At 44.2% G+C, this 25,884-nt stretch overlaps 1 protein-coding gene and 1 pseudogene across 7 annotated transcripts in view, besides 5 other annotated features; both read right to left on the bottom strand.

Moving 5' to 3' along the window:
* XIAP (X-linked inhibitor of apoptosis) overlaps positions 1-18,681 on the bottom strand; it is a 54,265-nt gene extending 35,584 nt beyond the window's left edge. For 2 of the 7 annotated variants that reach the window (NR_037916.2, NM_001167.4), the window contains exon 1: positions 18,096-18,336. The gene's annotated coding sequence lies outside the window, so the exon portion shown is untranslated. Of the gene's footprint in view, positions 1-17,843; positions 17,940-18,095; positions 18,337-18,483; positions 18,576-18,650 lie in introns of those variants that run through there. The other 5 variants (NR_165803.1, NM_001378591.1, NM_001378592.1 and 2 more) reach the window with 5 other exon arrangements.
* RNU6-122P (RNA, U6 small nuclear 122, pseudogene) lies at positions 3,824-3,930 on the bottom strand (annotated as a pseudogene).
* Positions 17,589-18,530: an enhancer, noted in NCBI's record as "H3K27ac hESC enhancer chrX:122993709-122994650 (GRCh37/hg19 assembly coordinates)". NCBI's record gives its function as "activates a minimal SCP1, AML or CMV promoter by ChIP-STARR-seq in primed H9 embryonic stem cells {active_cell/tissue: H9 hESC(primed)}" and the evidence as "EXISTENCE:reporter gene assay evidence [ECO:0000049][PMID:30033119]".
* Positions 17,589-19,471: a biological region, named in NCBI's record as "H3K27ac hESC enhancers GRCh37_chrX:122992768-122993708 and GRCh37_chrX:122993709-122994650".
* Positions 17,972-18,031: a silencer, noted in NCBI's record as "silent region_20971". NCBI's record gives its function as "represses an Ori minimal core promoter by ATAC-STARR-seq in GM12878 lymphoblastoid cells {active_cell/tissue: GM12878}" and the evidence as "EXISTENCE:reporter gene assay evidence [ECO:0000049][PMID:35858748]".
* Positions 18,312-18,631: a silencer, noted in NCBI's record as "silent region_20970". NCBI's record gives its function as "represses an Ori minimal core promoter by ATAC-STARR-seq in GM12878 lymphoblastoid cells {active_cell/tissue: GM12878}" and the evidence as "EXISTENCE:reporter gene assay evidence [ECO:0000049][PMID:35858748]".
* Positions 18,531-19,471: an enhancer, noted in NCBI's record as "H3K27ac hESC enhancer chrX:122992768-122993708 (GRCh37/hg19 assembly coordinates)". NCBI's record gives its function as "activates a minimal SCP1, AML or CMV promoter by ChIP-STARR-seq in naive H9 embryonic stem cells {active_cell/tissue: H9 hESC(naive)}" and the evidence as "EXISTENCE:reporter gene assay evidence [ECO:0000049][PMID:30033119]".

Genomic DNA, 25,884 nt, shown 5'->3' with positions numbered 1-25,884 from the left:
TGACTACAAATGGTTACTGGGGTTGTTTCTGGAGTAATGAAAATGTTCTAAAATTAGATTGTGGTGATAGTTGCACAACTCTGCATATACTAAAAGCCACTGAACTATATACTTTAAATGGATCTTATGGTATATAAATTTTATCTTAATAAAGCTGTCAAAATGTTATTAAAATAGTAGTTTGGTAACTGCATAAACTTTGGTGGATCAGAGGTGATTTTAAGTCTAAAACAAAGAGGCTTTTGCTAATGAAATTACGTGCTTTTGATATGGAAAATGGGATGTTAGTACATTTTCAGAACTAGGTGAGAGGACTAAGTCATTTCTGTTTGAAGTGGTTACATATTTAACCTGTTTCACAGAGCCCAGTGAATTTTTCCTTTAACTATATTCTTTAAATTCTTTTTTTTTTTTTTTCTTTGAGACGGAGTCTCGCTCCCAGGCTGGAGTGCAGTGGCGCGATCTCGGCTCACTGCAAGCTCCGCCTCCCGGGTTCACGCCATTCTTCTGCCTCAGTCACCCGAGTAGCTGGGACTACAGGCGCCCGCCACCACGCCCGGCTAATTTTTTTGTATTTTTAGTAGAGACGGGGTTTCACCGTGTTAGCCAGGATGGTCTCGACCTCCTGACCTCGTGATCCACCCGCCTCAGCCTCCCAAAGTGTTGGCATTACAGGTGTGAGCCACCGTGCGTGGCTATATTCTTTAAATTCTAATGAGAAAAAGTTTGATTCTATCTCTTGGTACTGGAGGACCTCAGTTCTTATGTTCCCAGTATTCTTATTTCTAATGTTGTTCTTCTGTTGCTAATTGTAACAAATCACTTTCTGGAATGCTTTTAAGAAATTAAGCCAATTACTATTTTTAGGAGTTGCTTTCCATGTTATGAAGCACTTGAAGCTATGTTCCTGAATTACAAAATTCTCTGACAGTTGTTCACATTGGTGTTTGTACATCCTGTAGCTTATATATTTAAAAACTAATTCCAAACAGGTATAGTTTGTGTTGTAAAAAGCAGTTAATGGCCGGGCGTGGTGGCTCATGCCTGTAATCCCAGCACTTTGGGAGGCCGAGGCAGGCGGATCACTTGAGGTCAGGAGTTTGAAACCAGCCTGGCCAACATGGCGAAAACCCCATCTCTACTAAAAATACAAAAAGTAGTCAGGCGTGGTGGTGCATGCCTATAATCCCAGTTACTCAGGAGGCTGAGATATGAGAATTACTTGAACCCAGAAGGCGGGGGTTGCAGTGAGCCCAGATCATGCCACTGTACTCCAGCCTGGGTGACAGAGCAAAACTCTGTCTCAAAAAAAAAAAAAAAGGCAATTAATTCACTGACTCTGGTAATATGAGACTCTCTCCTTTAACATTCTTGTATTTACTCCTAATTTCACTAGAAAGCATTCCCTGTGTTTTGTGTGTCCATATGTACATTGGAATGCTTTTGTACTCTTTTAATGTATTCAAGTAGTGTGAATGTTTTTGATAAAAAATGTACCAAGATTAAAAGATTTTTACACATGGAACAAACCTGTGTATTTTTTCATACAACGATTTTGGATTTTCTTTAATGGGATTATTCTAGGAAGACTGCCTAACATTGATAGAAATATGTGGTATTTACCACTGATGGGTAGAGTTTACTCATATTATTTTCCTTTTTATTTATTTATTTATTTATTTAAAAGACAAGGCCTTGCTCTGTTGCCCGAGTTGGAGTGCAGTAGTGTGATCATAGCTCACTGTAACCTCGACCTCCTGGGCTGAAGCAATCCTCCCACCTCAGCCTCCTGAGTAGCTGGGACTATAGCCACATGCCACCATGCCCTGCTAATTTTAAAAAGTTTTCTTAGAGATGTGGTTTCTCTATGCTGTACAGGCTGGTCTGGAATTCCTGGACTCAAGCTATACTCCTGACTTGGCCTCCCAAAGTGTTGTGATTATAGGCGTGAACCACTGTGTTTGACTAGTTTTTTACTATTATGAACAATGCTGGAGTGAATGACCTTCTATCTAAACCTACTTATGTAATGTTTGCTTTTCACACCAATAATAGATGGCCTCAAACAGGGCAGTGTCCTGTCACTACCTCCATTTAATCTATCTTGTTTTTGACTAGTAATAGTCTCAAGAAGCATCTGACTAAAGTAGTTGGAAAAAAAAAAAAAGCAGCATGAGGTCACATGCGGTGGCTCACCCCTGTAATCCCAACACTTTGGGAGGTTAAGGCGGGAGAATCACTTCAGCCCAGGAATTTAAGACCAGACTGGGCAATGTAGGCCAAGGAATTCCAGGTTACAGTGAGCTGTGACTGCGTCACTGCACTTCAGCCTATACAACAGGTCAAGACACTGTCTTAAAAAACAAAAAAAGTAGTATGAATACACTTATAAATCTATAAGAAGGCTGGGTGCAGTGGCTCACACCTGTAATCCCAACACTTTGGGAGGCCGAGGTGGGTGGATCGCTTGATTTCGGGAGTTCAAGACCAGCCTGGCCAACATGGTGAAACACCGTCTCTACTAAAAATACAAAAATTAGTCAGGCGTGGTGGCACATGCCTGTAATCCCAGCTACTCGGGAGGCTGAGGCAGGGGAATCGCTTGAACCTGGGAGGCAGAGGTTGCAGTGAACCGAGATGGTGCCACTGTACTCCAGCCTGGGCGACACAGCGAGACTCCGTCTCAAAAAAAAAAAAAATCTATAAGAAAAAGATTAATACGTTGATAGAAAACAGGCAAATTTACAAGTGGGAAATATTAATGGTCAACAAACATATGCAACAATGTTAAACCTCATTAATAATCAAAGAAATAAACACTTTAAAAGATAACATTTTTATCCTATTTGGCAAAGGTCAACATTACTACCAACAACGAAAACGCAGTGGCTGGAGAGTATGAAGCAAGAGGCATTTGCCTGTTAGAACTAAAAACTGGTACATCTTTTCTGGAAGGTAATCTGGCAATATATGTTCTAAAAGTCTTAAATATATGATTATCTCTTGAACCATCCATTCTAGTTCTAAACATATTCTCAAAAAAATAAAAATAAATAAATCCCTGATCAGGCCGGGCGCGGTGGCTCACGCCTGTAATCCCAGTATTCTAGGAGGCCAAGGCAGGCGGATCACCTGAGGTCAGGAGTTCAAGACCAGCCTGGCCATGGTGAAACCCCGTCTCTACTAAAAATACAAAAAATTAGCCAGGCATGGTGGTGCACGCCTGTAATCCCAGCTACTCGGGACGCTGAGGCAGGAGAATCACTTGAACCTGGGAGGCAGAGGTTGCAGTAAGCTGAGATTGTGCCATCGTACTCCAGCCTGGGAAACAAGAGGGAAACTCCATCTCAAAAAAAAAAAAAAATAAATCCCTGATCAGCCAGGCGCAGTGGCTCATGCCTGTAATCCCAGCACTTTGGGGGCTAAGGTGGGTGGATCACTTGAGGTCAGGAATTCAAGACCAGCCTGGCCAACATGGCAAAACCTAGGCTCCACAAAAAAAAAAAAAAAAAAAAAAAATACAAGAATTAGCTGGGGGTGGTGGCACACACCTGTAGTCCCAGCTACTCAGGAGACTGAGGCAGGAGAATTGTTTGAATTCGGGAGGTGGAGGTTGCAGTGAGCCAAGATTGCGCCACTGCATTCAAGCCTGGGCAACAGAGGGAGACTCCATCTCAAAAAAAAAAAAAAAAAATCCCCCATCATTTCATTATGAGTGTATATATAAGGATGTTCCATAAAGTGCTATTTACTAAAAACAATTCAATATCTAACAAAAGAGGACAATACTATGGTAATATGGGCCACCAGGTAACCATTAAAAATTCATGTTCAGGATGTATTTTAAAAACATGCATATATTATACAGGGGCCATGTTAACCTTCTCTGTATCATTCCAATTTTAGTATATGTACTGCCAAAGCGAGCACCATGATGTTGTATTAAGTGGAAAAAGCTGGTTACAAAATGATGTTGTATTATATAACCCAAATTATAAAAAATACAGATATATAAAGACAGGCTAAATTACATATCAAAATTCTGCTGTGGTTATCTCTGAGCAGTGAGATTATTTTCTTTGCGCTTTTCTTAACTTTCTAAATTCTATACAGCAAATATATTAGATTCTAATGAAAAGAAATAAGCAGGTGGACTCTTGATTAGTCAGGCACCCTTGTACAATCCTGCCAACCAGACTATGGGTGTAATCTGGTTATTTGCCATGTGACAATGCTTCCTCCCTCTGTGAATACACTGGCCAAGTAAACTATCAATAGCAAGGCCTGGTAATGCAAAGTTTTGGCTTTTCATTCACAGGAAGTAATTTTTATGACTTAGAAAGGGAAGGATATGTTCTTTGGTTCTTATCTTTTTGCCTATCCTGAGAATTTCTGCCAGCTTGTTACATAGGTAACTGCCTCTGAGCAACCCACCAGGTTTTTTTTTTTTTTTTTCAGACGGACTCTTGCTGTGTCGCCCAGGCTGGAGTGCAGTGGCGCAATTTGGGCTCACTGCAACCTCCACCTTCCAGGTTCAAGCAATTCTTCTGCCTCAGCTTCCCAAGTAGCTGGGATTACAGGCGTGTGCTACCAGGCCCAGCTAATTTTTTTTTTTTCTATTTTTAGTAGAGATGTGGTTTCACCATGTTGGTCAGGCTGGGCTCGAAACTCCTCACCTCAAGTGATCCACCTGCCTCAGACTCCCAAAGTGCTGGGATTACAGGTGTGTGCCGCCACGACGCCTGGCTGATTTTTGTATTTTTAGTAGAGACAGCGTTTCATCATGTTGGCCAGGCTGGTCTCAAACTCCTCATCTCAAGTGATCTGCTCGCCTTGGCCTCCCAAAGTGCTGGGATTACAGGCGTGAGCCACCGTGCCTGGCGATCATCAGGTTTCAAAAAAGAGAGAGAGAGAGGGCCAGACATGGTGGTTCATGCCTGTATTCCCAGCACTTTGGGAGGTCAAGGCAGGAGGACTGCTTGAGCCCAGGTGTTTGAGGCCAGCCTGGGCAACATGGTGAGACCCCATCTCTACAAAAAAAAATAAAATAAAAATTAGGCCAGGTGTGGTGGCTCACGCCTGTAATCCCAGCACTTTGGGAGGCCGAGGCGGGAGGATCATCTGAGGTCAGGAGTTCGAGACCAGCCTGACCAACATGAAGAAACCCCGTCTCTAGTAAAAATACAAAATTAGCCGGGCGTGCTGGCGCATGCCTGTAATCCCAGCTACTCAGGAAGGCTGAGGCAAGAGAATCACTTGAACCTGGGAGGCCGAGGTTGCGGTGAGCCGAGATTGCGCCATTGCACTCCAGCCTGGGCAACAACAGCGAAATTTCGTCTCAAAAAAAAAAAAAATTAAAAATTAGTCGGGCATGGTTGCACATGCCTGTAGTCCCAGCTACTCAGGAAGCTGAGGTGGAAGGACTGCCTGAGCCTGGGAAGCAGAGTCTGCAGTGAGCTATGATTGTGCCAGTGCACTGTACCCTGGGAGACAGAATGAAAAGCTATCCAAAAAAAAGAGAGAGAGAGGGATACAGGTCAAGTCCCAGAGATAAAAGCAGTCATCAGATCATGTCCATGGTGGTTGGCCAGAAACAAATGCCTTTTGGTCCACTGCTTGAGTGGCAGTAAACCAGCAGCAGAAGAGAAGGGCTGAGAAACACAGGTGATACCTGATTGCTACTTATTGGGTTTCTTTTTTTGTGATGGAGTCTTGCTCTGTCACCCAGGCTAGAGTGCAGTGGCGTGATCTCGGCTCACTGCAACCTCCATCTCCCAAATTCAAGTGATTCTCCTGCCTTAGCCTCTTGAGTAGCAAGACTACAGGGGCGCGCCACCATGCCCGACTAATTTTTGTATTTTTAGTAGAGACGGGGTTTCGTCATGTTGGCCAGACTGTTCTCAAAACTTCTGACTTCAGGTGATCTGCCCGCCTCAGCCTCACAAAGTGCTGGGATTACAGGCGTGAGCCACCACACCCGGCCAACTTATTGTTAACTTGAGTTGAAAATAAAAGGACTTGCTAAGTGAGACACTAGTGTGCCAAAAAAAAAAAGGACGAAAAAAAAAAAAGGACTTCTTGTGGAAAAATTTTTCTGAGTGATATCTATCTTTGGAGTTATGAACTGTTCATCCACTGCCTTGTAAAAATTTACAATGACTTTGGGGCCTGGTAAGAAGAAAGAAGTATCCGCGAACTTTGGGCAAAAACTTCCCTAAAATAATTTTAACAAAACGAGCAGCTCAGAATCAAGTATACTAAAAAGCATCATCATTATTATTATTACTATGAGATGGAGTCTCGCTCTGTCACCAGGCTGGAGTGCAGTGGCACAATCTCGGCTCACTGCAACCTCCGCCTCCTGGGTTCAAGCAATTCTCGTGCCTTAGCCTCCAGAGTAGCTGGGATTACAGGCACGTGCCACCATACCCAGCTAATTTTTGTATTTTTAGTAGAGATGGGGTTTCACCATGTTGGCCAAGATGGTCTCGATCTCCTGACCTCGTGATCCTCCCGCCTCATTCTCCCAAAGTGCTAGGATTACAGGCATGAGCCACCGCACCCGGCCATTATTATATTTTGTAGACACTCACGAGCAAAAATTGTTCATAATAACTATGTCTTGCTGGACAGGATAATAAAAATCATTCTCTTACTTTACAGAAAAAGAAACTAATCCACTTGGGAAACATAGGTAGACCCAGTCACTAAAAAAAACAAAAAAACAAAAAAAACCCCAAAAAACTAAGGCATGGTGGCTGGAGCCTGTAGTCCCAGCTACTCGGGAGGATGAGGTGGGAGGATCACTTGAGCCTGGCCACTCCAGCCTGGGCTGATAGAACCAGATCCTGTCTCAAAAAAAAAAAAAGAAAGAAAAAGAAACTAAAACATAAGGAAGGTAAATGATTTGACTAAGGCCATAGAGCTGATTAGTGGCATGGAACCGGAACTTACTGTACTCTGATACTTTGTCCAGATAACTTATTCTGACAGAGTGATTAGAAAGCAGTTCATACAATCAGATGGTTCCAGAAATGCCATGGATGACTTCATAAGCAGGTAATACCTACCCCTAGACATTTCTCAGAACGAAGTATTCTTTTTTTTTTCTTTAAGAGATGGGGTCTCGACCAGGCTTGGTGGCTCATGGCCAGGTGTGGTGGCTCACACCTGTAATCCCAGCACTTTGGGAGGCTGAGGTGGGTGGATCACTTGGTCAGGAGTTCGAGACCACCCTGGCCAACATGGTGAAACCCGGCCCCTACTAAAAATACAAAAATTAGCTGGGCATGGTGGCATATGCCTGTAATCCCAGCTACCCGGTAGGCTGAGGCAGGAGAATCACTTGAACCTGGGAGGCGGAGGTTGCATTGAGCCCAGATCGTGCCAATGTACTCCAGCAGCCTGGCTGACAGAGTGAAACTCCGACTCCCTCACACACACACACGCACACACAAAAAGAGATGGGGTCTTACTATGTTGCTCAAGCTGGTCTTGAACTCCTGGCCTCAAGTGATCTTCTCACCTCAGAGTGAAGTATTCTATTCCATGATCATGTTAGGATCTCAAGCAAGTACTTAAACAACTTTTTTTTTTCTTCTGGGACAGGGTCTTGCTCTATCGCCCAGACTGGAGTGCAGTGTCACAATCTTGGCTCACTGCAACCCCTGCCTTGCGGTTTCAAGCAATCCTACCACCTCAGCCTCCTGAGGAGCTGGACTCCAGGCAGGCGACAGCACACTCAGCTAATTTTTAAATTTTTTTTTGTAGAGACAAGGTCTCACTATATTGCCCAGGCTGATCAAACAAGTTATGGATAAGAGCCCACATCTTTTCTCTTTCTTCAGTAAAAATATTTAACTCTATCTGAAAGCCACAGTGCTATCTATATTCAAACATTTAGTACGTTTCTCTTCTGTCTAGGTTTTAATTTTTTTAAATGACACAAAGTAAAGGAAACTGTGCTACAAACCAAATTTAAACGATACAACATATTTCATGAGTGTCCGCATGTACCCAAATACTATCTACAAACTAATTTTCATTTTCCTTCATCCCATCATTTTAGCTACAAGTAAGTACTTCTCTACTAAACATGCTGAATTTAAACTAAAAATTTTCAATCTTGGCTGGGCATGGTGGCTTAAGCCTGTAATCCCAGCACTTTGGGAGGTTGAGGTGGGCAGACCACCTGAGGTCAGGAGTTCGAGACCAGCCTCGCCAAAATGGCAAAACCCTGTCTCTACTAAAAATACAAAAAAATTAGCTGGGCGTGGTGGCGCGTGCCTGTAGTCCCAGCTACTAAGGAGGCTGAGGCACGAGAATCGCTTGAACCTGGGCGGCAGAGGTTGCAGTGAGCTGAGATTGCGCCACTGCACTCCAGCCTGAGCGACAGAGCGAGACTCCGTCTCAATTAAAAAAAAAAATCAATCCTCTTTGGTTTAATGTAAGGTCAAAATTTAAGCATGGGCTTGTGTGATTCTATAGCTCATCTTCTCTTCTTTCACGATGTTACCTTTGATAATAACTAACATATGTAATGTGCTTTACAATTTAGAATGTTTTCATATATGGAATCTAATTTAACCTACATAATATATCATAGGCCTCATCTGAAATATGAGGAAACAGTAGTTCTGACTGTTACTCATCAAAGGTCATGCACCCAGTGATTATGACCAATATAGGTCTAAGGAAATTACTACAAGGATTACTGGCAGAAGGGACAGTCCAATGAGGTAGCAGAAAATGTTAGGCTTCCTTCCCTTTCAAGGCCTAAAAAATTAGCTAGAACCATAGAAAGGTTAAGTCACATGGTAATATATGCTGAGATGTCTGTGTTTTTTTTTTCTTTTCTTTATTTTTGAGATGGAGTCTCACTCTGTCATCCAGGCTGGAGTACAGTGGCATGATCTCAGCTCACTGCAACCTCCACCTCCCAGGCTCAAGTAATTTTCCTGCCTCAGCCTCCTAAGTAGCTGGGATTGCAGAGGCATGACCCAGCTTTTTTTTTTTTTTTTTTTTTTGTATTTTTTTAGTAGAGATGGGGTTTTGCTCTGTTGGTCAGGCTGGTCTTGAACTCCTGACCTCAAGTGATCCACCTGCCTCGGCCACCCAAAGTGCTGGGATTTCAGGTGTGAGCCACTGCGCCCAGCCAGATGTCTGTATTTCTGTATTTAAGGTGAATAAGATGATTACAGAAATAAGAATAAAATTTCAAACCATAATATTTTATAAGTACCAGGGAATGCACAATGGCAGCAGCCTTGTCCGGTTTAAGAAATCAGCTTTAATCCACTTGGTTCAACATCTGACCATCTGAGATCAAGCTATTCTCAGTCTGTACAGGTAAACGTGACTTTTCACTATGACCCATATCCTCGAAAATACATAAAACTATATCATAACAAGGTGAATCACATGTATCCATAACAAAGACTGGGTACCAAATCATACCAAAATCAAATCCCAAAATGTATCAAACAGCAGAGCTACAAATGTATCACAATTTAAAACAATAAAAGCCCATGCCAAGTCCTGCAAAATGGACATAAGTATGTTTTTATCATATAAAGGATAACCTATTATTAACCACATACAGAGCAGATAAAATATATAATCCATAAATTTGGCCTCAAATTCCTGTTTTTGTTTTTTGAGATAGGGTCTTGCTCTGTCCCCCAAGCTGGAATGGGGTGCCCTGATCTTGACTCACTGCAACCTCCACCTCCTGGGCTCAAGTGATCCTCCCACCTCAGCCTCCAGAGTAGCTGGGATTACAGGTGCACGCACAACCATGCCCAGTTAATTTTTCTATTTTTAGTAGAGATAGCATTTTACCATGTTGCCCAGGCTGGTCTTGAACTCCTGGACTCAAGGGATCTCCCTGACTTGGCCTCCCAAAGTGCTGGGATTAAAGGCATGAGCCACCATGCCTGGCCTGGGATTGTTATGTGGAATTTTTTTCCTTGACAAAATCTCAGATAATCAGGCTTAAAAACTATTATAATGGGTTTTGAATCGTTGGAATCAACTAGTCCTTAAGCCCAGCCACCCTGGGTTTTTTGTTTGTTTGTTTGCTTGTTTGTTTGTTTTGAGACAGGGCCTCACTCTTGTCACTCAGGCTAGAATGCAGTGGTGCCCTCATGGCTCACTGCCACCTTGACCTCCCGGGCTCAAGCGATCTTCACAGGCGCGTGCCATCACATCCAGCTAATTTTTTTATTATTGGTAGAGACGGGGTCTCACGATGTTGCCCAGGCTGGTCTCAAACAATCCTCCCACCTCAGCCTCCCAAAGTGCTGGGCTTACAGGTATGAGTCACCATGCCTGACCCTGTTACTTTACAGATGAAGAAAGTGCAGTATAAAATAATACACTGGATAAATAAAAAATGTATTTTGAAAGACTTCAGGCTGGGCGCAGTGGCTCATGCCTGTAATCCCAGGACTTTGGGAGGCCAAGGCAGGTGGATGACCTGAGGTCAGGAGTTCGAGACCAGCCTGGCCAACATGGTAAAACACTATCTCTACTAAAAATAGAAAAATTAACTGGGCATGGTTGTGCGTGCGCCTGTAATCCCAGCTACTTGGGAGGCTGAGGCAGGAGAATCACTTAAACCCAGGAGGCAGAGGTTGCAGTGAGCTGAGATTGCACCAATGCGCTCCAGCCTGGGCAACATGAGCAAAACTCCGTCTCAAAAAAAAAAAAAAAAAAAGGCCAGGTACGGGGGCTCACACCTGTAATCCCAATACTTTGGGAGGCCAAGGCGGGCGGATCACAAGGTCAGGAGTTCAAGACTAGCCTGGCCAACATGGGGAAACCATGCCTCCACTAAAAATACAAAAATTAGCCGGGCGTGGTAGCACATGTCTATAATCCTAGCTACTCAGGAGGCTCAGGCAGGAGAATCACTTGAACCCAGGAGGCGGAGATGCAGTGAGCTGAGATTGTGCCACTGCACTCCAGCCTGGGGGACAGAGTGAGACTCTGTCTAAAAAACCAAACCAAACCAAAAAAAAAAAAAAGACTGCTGGGCGCAGTGGCTCACACTTGTAATCCCAGCACTTTGGGAGGCTGAGGCGGGCTAATCACGAGGTCAGGAGATGGAGACCATGGTGAAACCCCGTCTCTACTAAAAATACAAAAACATTAGCCAGGCGTGGTGGCGGGCACCTGTAGTCCCAGCTACTTAGAGAGGCTGAGGTAGGAGAATGGCATGAACCCAGGAGGCGGAGGTTGCAGTGAGCTGAGATCGCACCACTGCACTCCAGCCTGGGCGACAGAGCGAGACTCCGTCTCAAAAAAAAAAACAGAAATGTTAACTATAGAATGTTGAAGGGGGGGGGGGGATTAAAACAACCTGTAGACAATATGATCGTCATTATTCTATTTCATAAATTTTCTATAATAAACACATATCTCTGGCCAGGCACGGTGGTTCATGCCTGGAATCCCAGCACATTGGGAGGCCGAGGCGGGCAGATCACATGAGGTCAGGAGCAAGACTCCGTCTCAGAAAAATAAATAAATACATAAAATAAAATAAGCCAGGTGTGGTAGCACACCTGTAGTCCCAGCTACTTGGGAGGCTGAGGCAGAAGAATCGCTTGAACCTGGGAGGCGGAGGTTCAGTGAGCCAAGATCTCACCACTGCACTCCAGCCTGGGTGACAGAGCTAGACTCTGTCTGAAAAATATATATATTATATATGTAATATATTTTACATATTATATTGTGTTATATATTATATATATTTTACATATATTGTATTATATATTATATATAATATATTATACATGTAATATATTATATACTATATTATATATATCATACATTATTATATACATATTATATATTTTGATATTATATATGATATATCATATATTATATATTAATCATATATAATATATTGTATATAATATAATTTATATCATATATATTATATATCATGTATAATATATATTATATAATATATATAGAAACACATATTTCTTTTATAACTTAAAATACTCAAAGGCCGGCACAGTGGCTCATGCCTGTAATCCTGGCACTTTGGGAGGCCAAGGCGGGCAGATCACATGAGGTCAGGAGTTCAAGACCAGCCTGGGCAACATGGTGAAATCCTGTCTCTACTTAAAATACAAAAAAGGCTGGGTGTGGTGGCTCACACCTGTAATCCCAGCACTTTGGGAGGCTGAGGTGGGTGGATCACGAGGTCAGGAGTTCGAGGCCAACCTGGTTAACATGGTGAAACCCCGTCTCTACTAAAAATACAAAAATTAGCCAGTTGTGGTGGCGTGCGCCTGTAATCCCAGCTACTCGGGAGGCTGAGGCAGGAGAATTGCCTGAACCCAGGAGGCGGAGTCTGCAGTGAACAGAGATCGCAGCCATTGCACTCCAGCTCTGGGCGACAGAGCAAGACTCTGTCTCCGAGGGGAAAAAAAGAGATACCAAAAAAAAAAAAATTAGCCAGGTGTGGTAGCACACGCCTGTAATCCCAGCTACTTGGGAGGCTGAGTCACCAGAATTACTTGAACCCAGGAGGTGGAGGTTGCAGTGAGCTGGGATCATGCACTGAACTCCAGCCTGGGTGACACAGCAAGACAATGTCTCAAAAACAAATAAATAAAATAAAATATTCAAAATACCCTTTTATTTTTTTTGAGTCGGAGTCTCGCTCTGTAGCTCAGGCTGGAGTGCAGTGGCGCAATCTCGGCTCACTGCAAGGTCCGCCTCCCGGGTTCACACCATTCTCCTGCCTCAGCCTCCCAAGTAGCTGGGACTACAGGCGCCTGCCACCACGCCCAGCTAATTTTTTGTATTTTTTTTTTTTTTTAGCAGAGAGGGGTGCCAGGATGGTCTAGATCTCCTGACCTCGTGATCCGCCCGCCTCAGTCTCCCAAAGTGCTGGGATTACAGGCGTGAGCCACCACGCCCGGCCTTAAAATACCCTTTTTATGTTTTGAATTCAACACCTAAAATAACATATCAAAAATGTGAACATGTAAAGAAAGATGGGGTCATTGACATGCACAATCCCACAGCTAATTGGAAACAAAGTCAATAACCTGTACTGTGGTACCCAACGTAGGGCTCTTTCCAAACACTGTAGCACATGACCTCTAAGATACAGAAACAGTATTTGTTAAATTCTAAAGTATTTTTTATCTTATCACTACTGTTTGTCTCTTCATATCTACTCACACAATGTCCTTTAATAGTGCTAACAGGTTACATTTTATAAAACTATTACCAGATTATCTCACAGAGATAAAGCTTGAGAATTGACAGCTCATGATAATCTCCCAGCCTCAAAAGAACAATGGAAAAACAAACAAACACACAAAAGCAAAATAAAAACAGACGAACATAAAAAAGCAAAAAAAAAAAAAAAAGAAGAAAGGCGGCCTGGTGTGATGGCTCGCGCCTGTAATCCCAGCACTTTAGGAGGCCAACGCAGGCAGATCACGAGGTCAGGAGAATGCGACCATCCTGGCTAACATGGTGAAACCCTGTCTTTACTAAAACACACACACACACACACACGGTGAAACCCTGTCTTTACTAAAACACACACACACACACACACACACACACACACACACACACACACACACACGAGAATGCGACCATCCTGGCTAACATGGTGAAACCCTGTCTTTACTAAAACACACACACACACGGTGACACCCTGTCTTTACTAAAACACACACACACACACACACACACACACACACACACACACACACACTCTAAGCCGGGTGTGGTGGCGGGTGCCTGTAGTCCCAGCTACTTGAGAGGCTGAGGCAGGAGAATGGCGTGAAGCCGGGAGGCAGTGCCTGCAGTGAGCCAAGATCGCGCTACTGCACTCCAGCCTGGGCAACAGAGCCAGACTCCGTCGTCTCAAAAAAAAAAAAAAAAAAAAAAAAAACAGAAGAAAGGCATTTGTTTTGCCATATTTATCCTTGGAATCCTACCACATACTACAATGAATGCCTGGAACACATTAAGTGCTCAATGAATGTTTATTTCATAAACTGTAGGTTTTGCTCTCTGCTAATACTACCTACCAGACTTAAATATTAGACCAAACAAAAACAGTGAAATATCATTATTTTATCGCTAAACATTTACAATATAAATACAGGATTTACTAAAGAAATTAATGTTTACAATGAAATAAAAGGAGAACATTTATTTACTAAATTAGTAAATTTATTTAGTAAAATTTATGTTACTAAAATATTTTAAGCACTATACAAATTAGCTGGTCCATTAATTATAATAATTTTGAGAAACTGCTCACTTCCTGAAAATGAAAAAAAAAAGGAAGACAAAATAAAATAAAAACCAAAGAAAAAAATAATAATTCTTAACTATTGAAATGGTCCTGGCTAACCTTTAGATATTATTACTTTGTCAGCCTAGTTGGAATCATCCAATGCACTAGAAAGCAATAAAATTACAGGTATAGTACAAGGGCCACTAGACTAGAACCTAGACTCTAGTCCAAGCTTTGCTAATAATCAGATATATTACGGTGGGCAATATTTTTTTTGAGTCTTAATCTATTTCTAAAAACGAGACAGCTGGGCCAGGTGCAGTGACTCACTTTTTCACCTGAGGTCCCAGCACTTTTTCACCTGAGGTCGGGAGTTTGAGACCAGCCTGACCAACATGGAGAAACCCCGTCTCCACTGAAAATACAAAATTAGCCGGGCGTGGTGGCGCATGCCTGTAATCCCAGCTACTCGGGAGGCTGAGGCAGGAAACTGCTTGAACCTGGGAGGCAGAGGTTGAGGTGAGCCGAGATCGCACCATTGCACTCCAGCCTGGGCAACAAGAGTGAAACTCCATCTCAAAACAAAAACAAAACTAGACAGCTGAACTCCTAATCACTATAAACTGTTTTAGTCTTAACTTTTTATTTGTTTTTGAGGTGGAGTCTCACTCTGTGGCCCAGGCTGGAGTTGAATGTTGCGTTCTCAGCTCACGGCAACCTCCGCCTCATGGGCTCAAGTGGTTCTCCTGCCTCAGCCTCCCAAGTAGCTGGGACTACAGGGGTGTACCGCCACACCCAGCTAATTTTTGTATTTTTAGTAGAGATGGGGTTTCACCATGTTAGCCAGGCTGGTCTTGAACTCCTGACCTCAGGTGATCCGCCCACCTCAGCCTCCCAAAGTGCTGGGATTACAGGTGAAAGCCACCGCACTTGGCCCTAGTCTTAACTTTTTTAAAAAATATGTTCTTATCTACAAAGAGTCTACAATTCAGATTTTTGTTTCTTTGTTTTGTTTGAGACAGGGTCTCACTCTTTCGCCCAGGCTGGAGTACAGTGGCCCAATCATGGCTCACTGCAGCCTCCACCTCCCAAGGCTCAGGTGATCCTCCTGCCTCAGCTCCCCAAAGTAGCTAGGACTACAGGCACAAGCCAGCACGCCCGGCTAATTTTTGTATTTTTATTAGAGAGAGGGCTGCGCCATGTTGCCCAGGCTGCAGATATTTTCCTTGTGTCAATTTTTTTTTTTTTCGGGACAAAGGTGCACTGTTGTCACCCAGGCTGGAGTACAGTGGTGCAATCTCGGCTCACTGCAGCCTCTGCCTCCTGGGTTCAAGCAGTTCTCCTGCTTCAGCCTCCCATGTAGCTGGTACTACAGGTGCACGCCACCACACCCGGCTAGTTTTTTTAGTAGAGGTGGGGTTTCACCATGTTGGCCAGTCTGGACTCCAACTCCTGACCTCAGGTGATCTGCCCGCCTTGGCGTCCCAAAGTGCTGGGATTACAGACATGAGCCACAGCGTCAGGTGTCAAATTTTTCTTGTGGTTTATTAAAAAAAAGGGACCTAATTAGCCAGGTGTGGTGGTGGGCACCTGTAATCCCAGCTACTTGGGAGGCTGAGGCAGAAGAATCACTTGAACCTGGGAGGCGGAGGTTGCAGTGAGCTGAGATGGTGCCATTGCACTCCAGCCTGGGAAACAAAAGCGAAACTCTGTCTCAAAAAAAAAAAAAATGGACTGGCCAGGCGAGGTGGCTCATACCTTTAATCCCAGCACTTTGGGAGGCCGAGGCGGGTGCATCACCTGAGGTCAGGAGTTCGAGATCAGCCTGGCCAACATGGGGAAACCCGGTGTCTACTAAAAATACAAAAATTAGCCAGGCGTGGTGGCGCATGCCTGTAGTCCTAGCTACTGGGGAGGCTGAGTAGCTTGAACCCAGGAGGCGGAGGCTGCAGTGAGTCAAGATAGGGCCACTGCACTCCAGCCTGGATGACAGAGTAAGACTCCGTCTCAAAAAAAAAAATTAATTAATTAATTGATAAAAAAAAACACCATGCTAATCTTCTTTGAATTGTTCGAATTTTAGTATATGTGCTACCACTGAAGCAAGTACCCAGATTTGATATTTTAAATGTGTTAAAAGTTTGCTACATTATTTGATAATCAAGAAGCTTAGGACAATTTCTAAAAATATATGACGACTAGTAACATATTATTTTTACTATCTTACATTAGGAGAGAGCAATACAAGAAAACGAAACATGAGTATCCAATAATGAGGTCTGCTTTGTCAGCTGAGTTGACCTGAATCATACCGGATTTTACAGTACAAACCACTGATATGTATAAATACATATATGCACATAAATGTGTACATACCATTGGTATATACTTGCTTATGTTGATATATATATTTGTGTGGGAAGGTGTGAACTTTAAAACTTTTCAATTATGAAATCAATACGAATTTATAACAAATTCAAACCGTACATTAGATCATGTGAAGTACAAAGTAAAAAGTCTTCTATCTCTCTTCTCCTCCATAAGTCATTACTATTAACATTTTTATTGTGTATCCTTCAAGAAACTATCTGAGCAAATGCAAGTATACACACGTACATGTGAAGGTGTGTGTATAAATCTAAACTGTTGCCACTTCTTGAATGTGGGGGTGGGGGGGAATCTCAAGTACTCCATAAGCATGTTAAATACATTGAAATACATAGAAAGTGGTACCACAGTCACTGGTACAAAGTATTATACTCTTCAGAAATGTGTGTTGAATTGAATACATTTAATTTTCATGCTTGGAGGCGATATGGAGCAATTGCGCAGTAAGAGTGGTGGGCAAGAAGCCAGATAACATGGGTTCTAATCTAACTAGTTGGATAGCCTTTAGCAAGCTATGAAATCTTCCTAAGCCGTGGTTTCTGGTTTTGTAAAAGGACAGGGTTTGACTAAGATCCCTTCCAACTCTAAAATGTTATAATTCTAAGATGGCCGTCTGTAACACTGTTCATTGACTATAATAAATATTATGGGGAAAAAAAAGAATAAGAAAGAAACACTACTGCAACCTCCAGTCTTACAAATTTCTGTGAGTCATTAAACTATCAAAGTATAGTTGTGACAGAACTAGCGACATAATTATATTTGAAAGCAAACTACTAGATTATTAAAATCTGATAGGTTGGAGTTTTTTAACAAAGGTTGGATTGACGTTGTTCCTTTTTCGAAGGTGGAGAGGGCTACTGCTTAGTTTGAGAATAAACACTCCCCTCCCCGAAAAGAAAACAATTTAAGTGTTATGGAGTTAAAATAATGAAACAAAGTCAAATTACATTTTGTTTTACAGAACATGCCGGAAAGGTGACTGGGAAAGCAGATTGGAAAGAATCACCAGCTAATTTCCTCTTCCGGAAGCTCTTTGGCCCTTATTCTTTCAGTTTCATATGCCCTCTCCAGACACACTCCACCCTGCTCCACACAAGCCACAGGTTATCACATGGGGAGGAAATCCCTTTGATCATATTTTTTTAAAAAGTTCTTTGCCTCAATTTACCTTAGGTGTCACAGGGTTTAGGAAGGCAATCCTGCAGGCCTGAAGTCACCCACCCACCCACGCCTGCCGTCGGCAGTCCGAGGAACCCGGGCAAGCAGCCGGGGCCGGGCCACCCCTGATGGGCTGGCGCGGCCTTCCCGCCCTCCCCAGCAGCGCCGGCCCGAGGGAAGTGGAGGGGAAAAGAAGAGGGGAGGGAGGAGAGGGGAAGGAGGGAAAGCGGGGGAGGGGAAAGCCTACACAAGCTGTACCCACCGCGCCAGGACAGCCGGCCCGAACTGCCCCGCGGCGATCGGCTCGGTCCAAGGGGAGGGTCCCGGAGGAGGCGCGGCCCGAGCCCCAATCTGGAAATGCCAACTCCGCTCTGCGGCTTGGCCCCAGCCTAGGTGAAGGAAACGGAAGTCCCTTCGTCTCCCTCACGCGCCTCTACCGGCCGGCCCATCCCCTGGAGAAACCCGGAGTCGTGAAACCCGAAGTGTGTCCACGTCAGGGCCTCAAAGAGACACCGGGCGCGGTCCGTCAGTCTCCCAGCCCGGGCTGCGCCACTGGGCCCCGGCGTGTCCCTCCCACCCCCGGCCGGGAGGTCAGCCTCCTGCCCTGCAAAGCCCCTCCTTCTTCCCCCCTCCGCCATTTTTCAACTTACCACTTGGGCCGGGCGTCCCTCGATGAGCGCCACGCCGGCTCCGGGCGCCGCCAAGGTCCCGCCACCTCCCCGAACCGGATGGGGGCAGTAAGAAAAAATGAGGCCCTTGCAACCCCTACCCCCACCCCCACCCGACCCCCCCGCCCGGCTGGAACCGAGAAGCTGACCTAGCGCGCGCACATGCGCAGTGAGCACCTCGTAGTCTCCGCCCCCAGCTCCAGTGTTTCTTCTTTCAGCCTTAAGGATGGTTTTTCCCACGGTTTTTACCTGTTGGGCCCTGGGGTTGAGGAATAGTGGAAGAAAGGCACAAGGACAGAAAAGAGGAGGAGAAGGGGCGAAAATGTTGAGTTCTTACTATAGATCAGGTACTGTGTTAGGCATATAACGTGTTCTTTGTTGTAATGTTGACAACCCTGTAAGATAAGCACTGTCTTTGGGGGTTTAATAAGCCCATTTTACAAAGGAAACTGAGGCCCACAGGGGATAACTATCCCAGTATCACGCGGCTAATAAGGTAACTGAGGTTAGAATCGGATCTGTTTCCAAGAAGGGAAGGATGAAAGGGATGACAAGAAAGGGAGACCCTGGGGGAATGGCGGGGGTTAAGATTGGGAGGTGAAGGGAAAATTAATAGAGGAAAAAGAAAGCAGATGGACCGGAAACAAAGGAAGTCTGTGTACATAAAATGCTGGTCATACCCTGGATTTATTTCAAATGCGTTGTAGGATTGTCAGATCAACATAGGAATTTTTGTTTCAGGAAAATGGGATCTTACAGGGTAATGTGGTGAGATGATGGATTCTGAATATTTCATTTCAAATGAAATCAAGTGATACAAGATATGATCCTCCCTTCACAACAAGGGAACTTGGAGGGAGGAGAGGAAAGAATTTTCTTAAAACTCGTAGTTGCATGTTTATTCTCCCCTTGGGTGCCCTACCCTATCTTCTAACAAATCAGAACTACTCCTTGTGCCCCGCCTATCCTCAGTTTTCCTGCCTTCCGCTAATTTGTTCAAACTACTCCCTCTGCCTATGTGAAAAGACTGCCCGTGGAAGGCAGCGAGACTCCGTCTCAAAAAAAAAAAAAAAAAAAAGACTGCCCGTACACAAAGCCTTCTCTGATTTTCTTAGCTGAAGTTCATCTCTCCATGCTCTGAACTCTAGTGGCACTTCTCTAATATTTGTTTTTGCTTTTTTTAAGCACCGTTGTTTTCTTGTGGTAAAATGTACATAACATAAAATTTACTGTTTTGGCTGGGCATGGTGGCTCACGCCTGTAATCCTAACACTTTGGGAGGCCGAGGCGGGTGGATCACCAGAAGTCAGTAGTTCGAGACCAGCCTGGCCAACATGGTGAAAACCCGTCTCTACTAAAAATACAAAAATTAGCCGAGTGTGGTGGTGAGTGCCTGTAATCCCAGCTACTTGGTAGGCTGAGGCTGGAGAATCTCTGGAACCCGGGAGTTGGAGGCTGCAGTAAGCCGAGATCGCACCACTGCACTCCACCCTGGGTGACAGAGCGAGACTCCGTCTCAAAATAAATAAGTAAATAAAAATAAATAGGCCGGGCGCCGTGGCTCACGCCTGTAATCCCAGCACTTTGGGAGGCTGAGGCGGGCGGATCACGAGGTCAGGAGATCGAGACCATCCTGGCTAACACGGTGAAACCCCAGTCTCTACTAAAAATACAAAAAATTAGCCGGGCGTGGTGGCAGGCACCTGTAGTCCCAGCTACTCGGGAGCCTGAGGCAGGAGAATGGCGTGAACCTGGGAGGCAGAACTTGCAGTGAACCGAGATCCTGCCACTGCACTGCAGCCTGGGTGACACAGCGAGACTCCGTCTCAAAAAAATAAAAATAAAAATAAATAAATAAATAAATAAAATTTATAAATTAAAATTTATAAATTAAAAATAAATAAAAATAAGTAAATAAATAAAAATTTACCATTTTAACCATTTTTCAGTGGCAATAAGTACATTCACATTGTTGTGCAACCATCTCCAGAACTTTTTTATTGTACTTGGCACTGTATTATGGAGCATAGTGCTTTCTGCCATGTAGTATATATGGCACTTGCGTACACACCTTGTCTCTCCTATGTTGTAAGCTCATTTATGGCAAGATCTATGTGGAACTCATTTTTGTAATTCCTATTCCTCCAAAACCCTTAGAAGTCATCTTTAATTCCTTTCTCTTATATCCCACATCCAATCCATCAGCAAATCTTGTCATCTCTGTCTTCAAAATGAATCCAGAATATCACCAATTCTCGACTCCACCATTATGACCCTAGTGCATCTCTCTTGGACTGTAATAGCCTTCTCACTGGTCTCCCGCTTACATCCTTGCTCTTCTCCAGTCAATTCACACAGTGGCAAGAGTTGTCCTCATGAAACATGTGAGATCATTGTCATTTCACTGCTCAGATCCCTTAATTGGCTTCCCATTTCCCTCAAAGTAAAAACCACAGATTTATAATGACCTACCAAGGCTATCATAGCCACCAAGATGACCACCAATGGTCTTCACCTCTTGCTATTTACACCCTGGGGTAGTTCTCTTCTATAATGAACCAGGGCTGACTGTGTCATCAGTAGTATATGGTAGAAATGATAGCGTGTGACTTACAAGACTAGGTCATAAAAGGCATTGTGGTATCTGCCTTGCTCCGTTTTTGGATTGGTTGCTGTAGGGGAAGCCAGCTGTCATGTCATGAAGATACTCAAACAGCATGTGGAGGCTGGTCTGAGTGAAGTGGTGTTTACAACCAATTGATCACAGCTAGTTACAGATTTCTTTCTTCCTTCTCTACTCTCACTGCTTTACTTCACTAGGCTTTTTTTTAAAAACAGCAGGTGGAGAGACCCACACAAATAGAAACAAAGCCCTTCCCCTCTCCTCATCTCTTCCTCCCCCATCAACAACCAGCACCAATTTGCCAACCATGTGAGTGAGCCGCCTTGGAAGAAGAATCTTCAGGCACAGCCTTCAGAAACTGTAGCCTCTTGGGACCCAGAGCCAGAACCCCCAAGCCAAAGGACTCTTGAATTCCTGTGTATTATTGTCAATAGCCAAATTTTAGGGCAATTTGTTACACAGCAGTAGATACCTAATACAAAGACCCTAAACTCTTACTTTTGTGTCTTCATTTCCTACTATTCTCCTCCTTCTTTCTTTAGCTTTCCTGACTCAGGGTCTGTGTACTTGCTGTTTACTCTGCCCGGAACACTTTCCCCAGATAGCATATCCTTCTCCTCCTTCAAGTCTTTGCTTAATTGTTACCTTCTCCAAAAGGCCTACAGTGACCACAATATTTAAAATTACAGTTCCTCCTCCCAGCACTCCCAATCTCCCTTCCTCTGCTCAACTTTCTGCTTTTTCCATGGCATCTGTCACTTTCTTTTTTCTTTTTCTTTTTTTTTTTGAGACAGAGTTTCGCTCTCGTTGCCCAGGCTGGAGTGCTAATGGCACGATGTTGGCTCACTGCAACCTCCACCTACCAGGTTCAAGCGATTCTCCTACTCAGCCTCCCGAGTAGCTGGGATTACAGGCATGCACCACCACGCCCAGCTAATTTTGTATTTTTAGTAGAGACAGGGTTTCTCCATGTTGGTCAGGCTGGTCTCAAACTCCCGACCTTAGGTGATCCGCCTGCCTCGGCCTCCCAAAGTGCTGGGATTACAGGCGTGAGCCACCGTGCCCGGCATCTGTCACTTTCTAACATACTATATGGTACTTTTAATTATTATGTTTCTTTACTGTACATTGTCTCCTTTCCACTCCTGCTAGAATATAAGCTCTAAGAGCACAAGGATCCTTGTTTTGTTCACTGATATCGTTCGAGTGCTTAGAACAGTATCTGACACAGTGTATGTGCTCAGAAGATATTTGTTGGGTGAGTGAATAAGTGTTTCATGAACATGCCAGATCCTCAGTAAATACTTATTGGGTGAATTGTCAACTGGGAGATATGAACAGCAAAGGCCAGTATACCTGAGATACGGTGTTTAGGTTTTATATGCAGGGACATATGTAAGTGTAAAATTCAAAACACAATATATAGAGAGCTTACTCTTACCTATACAAGGATATTTTATTGTAATTGGTTTTGGTTGAGGAGAAGGAACATTTAGAGAGGAAAAGAATGAAGATATATTAACTTGAACCGCATGAAGTTGCCAATGTTCCACCATTGCCAAATGATGCAAACAGCAATTTAATATGGTTCAACCTAACAGAAGAAAGGAAAATTGATGGCATAAAGACTCAGAGGAAAGGAGAAAGAGATCGGATCAAGCATGAATAGAGGCATTATCCTTGAACAGAAAAAGAGGACACATCCTCAGAGACTAAAGGACACAAGATGTGGATAAGTAGAAGGGAATTTTGAGGATGGCCACCACACCTCAGTGGCAGCTGGATACTGTGGAACGTAAAATATGTAGTTATCCGCTGAGGGGAACGGCAAAGATTTAGCACTAGAACTCTTTTCCAAAATGCAGTTATAGGCCGGGCACAGTGGCTCACGCCTGTAATCACAGCACTGTGGGAGGCCAAGGCAGGCGGATTGCCTGAGGTCAGGAGTTCGAAGCCAGCTTGGGCAACATAGTGAAACCCCGTCTCTACTAAAAATACAAAAAATTAGCTGGGCTTGGTGGCGGGCGCCAGCTACTCGAGAAGCTGAGGCAGGAGAATCACTTGAACCAGGGAGGCAGAGGTTGCAGCGAGCCAAGATCGCGCCATTGCACTCCAGCCTGGGCAACAAGAGAGAAACTCTGTCTCAAAAAAAAAAAAAAAAAAAAGGCCGGGCGCAGTGGCTCACGCCTGTAATCCCAGCACTTTGGGAGGCCGAGGCGGGCGGATCACGAGGTCAGGAGATCGAGACCATCCTGGCTAACACAGTGAAACCCCGTCTCTATTAAAAATACAAAAAATTAGCCGGGCATGGTGGCGGGCGCCTGTAGTCCCAGCTACTCGGGAGGCTGAGGCAGGAGAATGGCGTGAACCCGGGAGGCGGAGCTTGCAGCGCCACTGCACTCCAGCCTGGGCGACAGAGCGAGACTCCGTCTCAAAAAAAAAAAAAAAAAGCAAGAGCTTTGAGTGAAGCGGGGTGGGGGGTGGGGGCGGGTGAGCCCCGACTTTCAGGCCTTGTTCTCGGAGCTATCAGCTTCATGAAACTTCTTCTATGAGTAGGGAAACAACAACAATAAAAAAGAAACTTCTTCTGGGAGAAAGCGGTGCAGACTTGCAGAGGATTACTCTTGACTCACCAATAACCAAACAGCCTTTGTGATGAGCATTCATGTCAAATAGCATCTGTTGGCAGCATCCGCCCCTCAGTCTCCTGATTCATGATCCAGTATCTTGGTCACTAACCTCTCATTCCCTCTTTGCTGCCAGAAAGACTGCAACTGTAATTTCCTCTCTTTGAGTAGTCATAAAGATGCCTGCCCTTAGCTTGTGCTGGCAAAGCTAGCATCTCTAGCCAGCACCTCCTTTCCTTTCTCTGCTTTTATCTTCCTGGGACCCAGTCATACAGAAAAGACTTCTTGCTTGTTTGTGGCAAGAACAGAAGATTACACTCTCATCTCAAACTAATGGAAAATTGCACCTGAGCTTTCTATTAATATACACTAATCTAATCCTATTGTTATACCCAGTCTATTATTGTGCAAAAATCCAACAATCCAACAACAATGTCAAGGTCAGAGTGTCGTCATGGTGTATCTTGAGTAGGGAGGAGGTGAAAGCTGCTGGAGTTGAGGTCCAAGAGAGAGGCTGGCATGTTGGAGAGATCATCATCCAGGATGGTGGTAAGATTTGTGTTTAGAAAGGAAGACTGTGATGCCAAAGACCTGAATGTATGTAAGGGAGTATAAATAATAATAGCCGGGTGCAGTGGCTCACGCCTGTAATCCCAGCACTTTGGGAGGCCAAGGCAGGCGGATCACAAGGTCAGGAGATCAAGACCATCCTGGCTAACACGGTGAAACCCTGTCTGTACTAAAAATACAAAAAATTAGCCGGGCGTGGTGGCGGGCACCTGTAGTCCCAGCTACTCGGGAGGCTGAGGCAGGAGAATGGCAAGAACCCCGGAGGCGGAGCTTGCAGTGAGCTGAGATCGCACCACTGCACTCCAGCCTGGGCAACAGTGCAAGACTCCATCTCAAAAAATAATAGTAATAATAATAGTTATTTACATTCTTCTAAATATAAGTAATAGTGGTTAGCATTTACTGAATGTTTGCCATATGTCAGGCCATGTCTTAAGTGCTTCGCAAGCTTTATCTCGCTTTATCTCTTTAATCTTCTCAGTAACCCTCTAAGTGTTCTTCTTTTTTTTTTTTTTGAGACAGAGTCTTGTTCTGTTGCACAGGCTGGAGTGCAGTGGCATGATCTCAGCTCTCTGCAACCTCTGCCTCCTGGGTTTAAGCGAGTCTCCTGCCTCAGCCTCCTGAGTAGCTGAGATTACAGGCACACACCATGACGCTGGCTAATTTTTTGTATTTTTAGTAGAGATGGGGTTTCACCTTGTTGCCTAGGCTGGTCTTAAACTCCTGAGCTCAGGCAATCCACCCGCCTCAGCCTCTCAAAGTGCTAGGATTACAGGTGTGAGCCACCGCGCCCAGCTGCTAAGTGTTCTTTTTATTCTTATTTTGATTCAGAACCTACAGTGGTGCCTGGCATATAGTAGATATTCAAGACAAGTCAGGTCACTCCTCCACCTAAAACCCTGCAGTGGTTTTTCACTTGGTGGAGGCAGGCACAGCGTGCAGTGGGAGCCCAGAGGAGGGACCCAGATCAGAACTGACTCCAACAGGACTTCAGTGTTGAAAGACAAGGGAGAATTAGCTAGGCGAAGCAGGAGAAAAGCATTCTAAGTGGACTCGTCAGAATGTGCTAATGCATAGAAAGGGAACAGTAGCATGTACATGGGGCACGACCGTTAATGTCTTATGGCTAGAGTGTAGCTGCTAACGTTTACTGAATGTTTATTGTGTTCATGCTGTGTTAATTATGTTACATAGTAACAAAGACTCTCTCCTTGACCAAACCTAAGTCTGGGTCCTCTGAGCCCTCTTTCTGACTAAGCTCCAACCTTGGGCTCTGTCCTTGACCCACTTAATCCAGTGTTAGCAAAAATACTGCTGAGTCAGTTTAGTAAAAAATGCCTGCCCTCAGTGTCTGATCAACCTCAATATCTGATCAAATTCCTCATCCTCTACTCTCCATGTCTTTCTTTTTTTAGATTTTTTTTTCTGTGTGTGAGTGTGTGTGTGTGTGTGTGTGTGTGTGTGTGTGTGTGTGTAAAACAGAGTTTTGCTCTGTTGCCCAGACTGGAGTGCAGTGGCGCAATCTTGGCTCACTGCAACCTCCACCTTCTGGGTTCAAGTGAT

Source organism: Homo sapiens, chromosome X (genome assembly GCF_000001405.40).
Source record: "Homo sapiens chromosome X, GRCh38.p14 Primary Assembly".
Taxonomy (NCBI): domain Eukaryota; kingdom Metazoa; phylum Chordata; class Mammalia; order Primates; family Hominidae; genus Homo; species Homo sapiens.
This window is presented reverse-complemented; position numbering and strand designations above follow the sequence as displayed.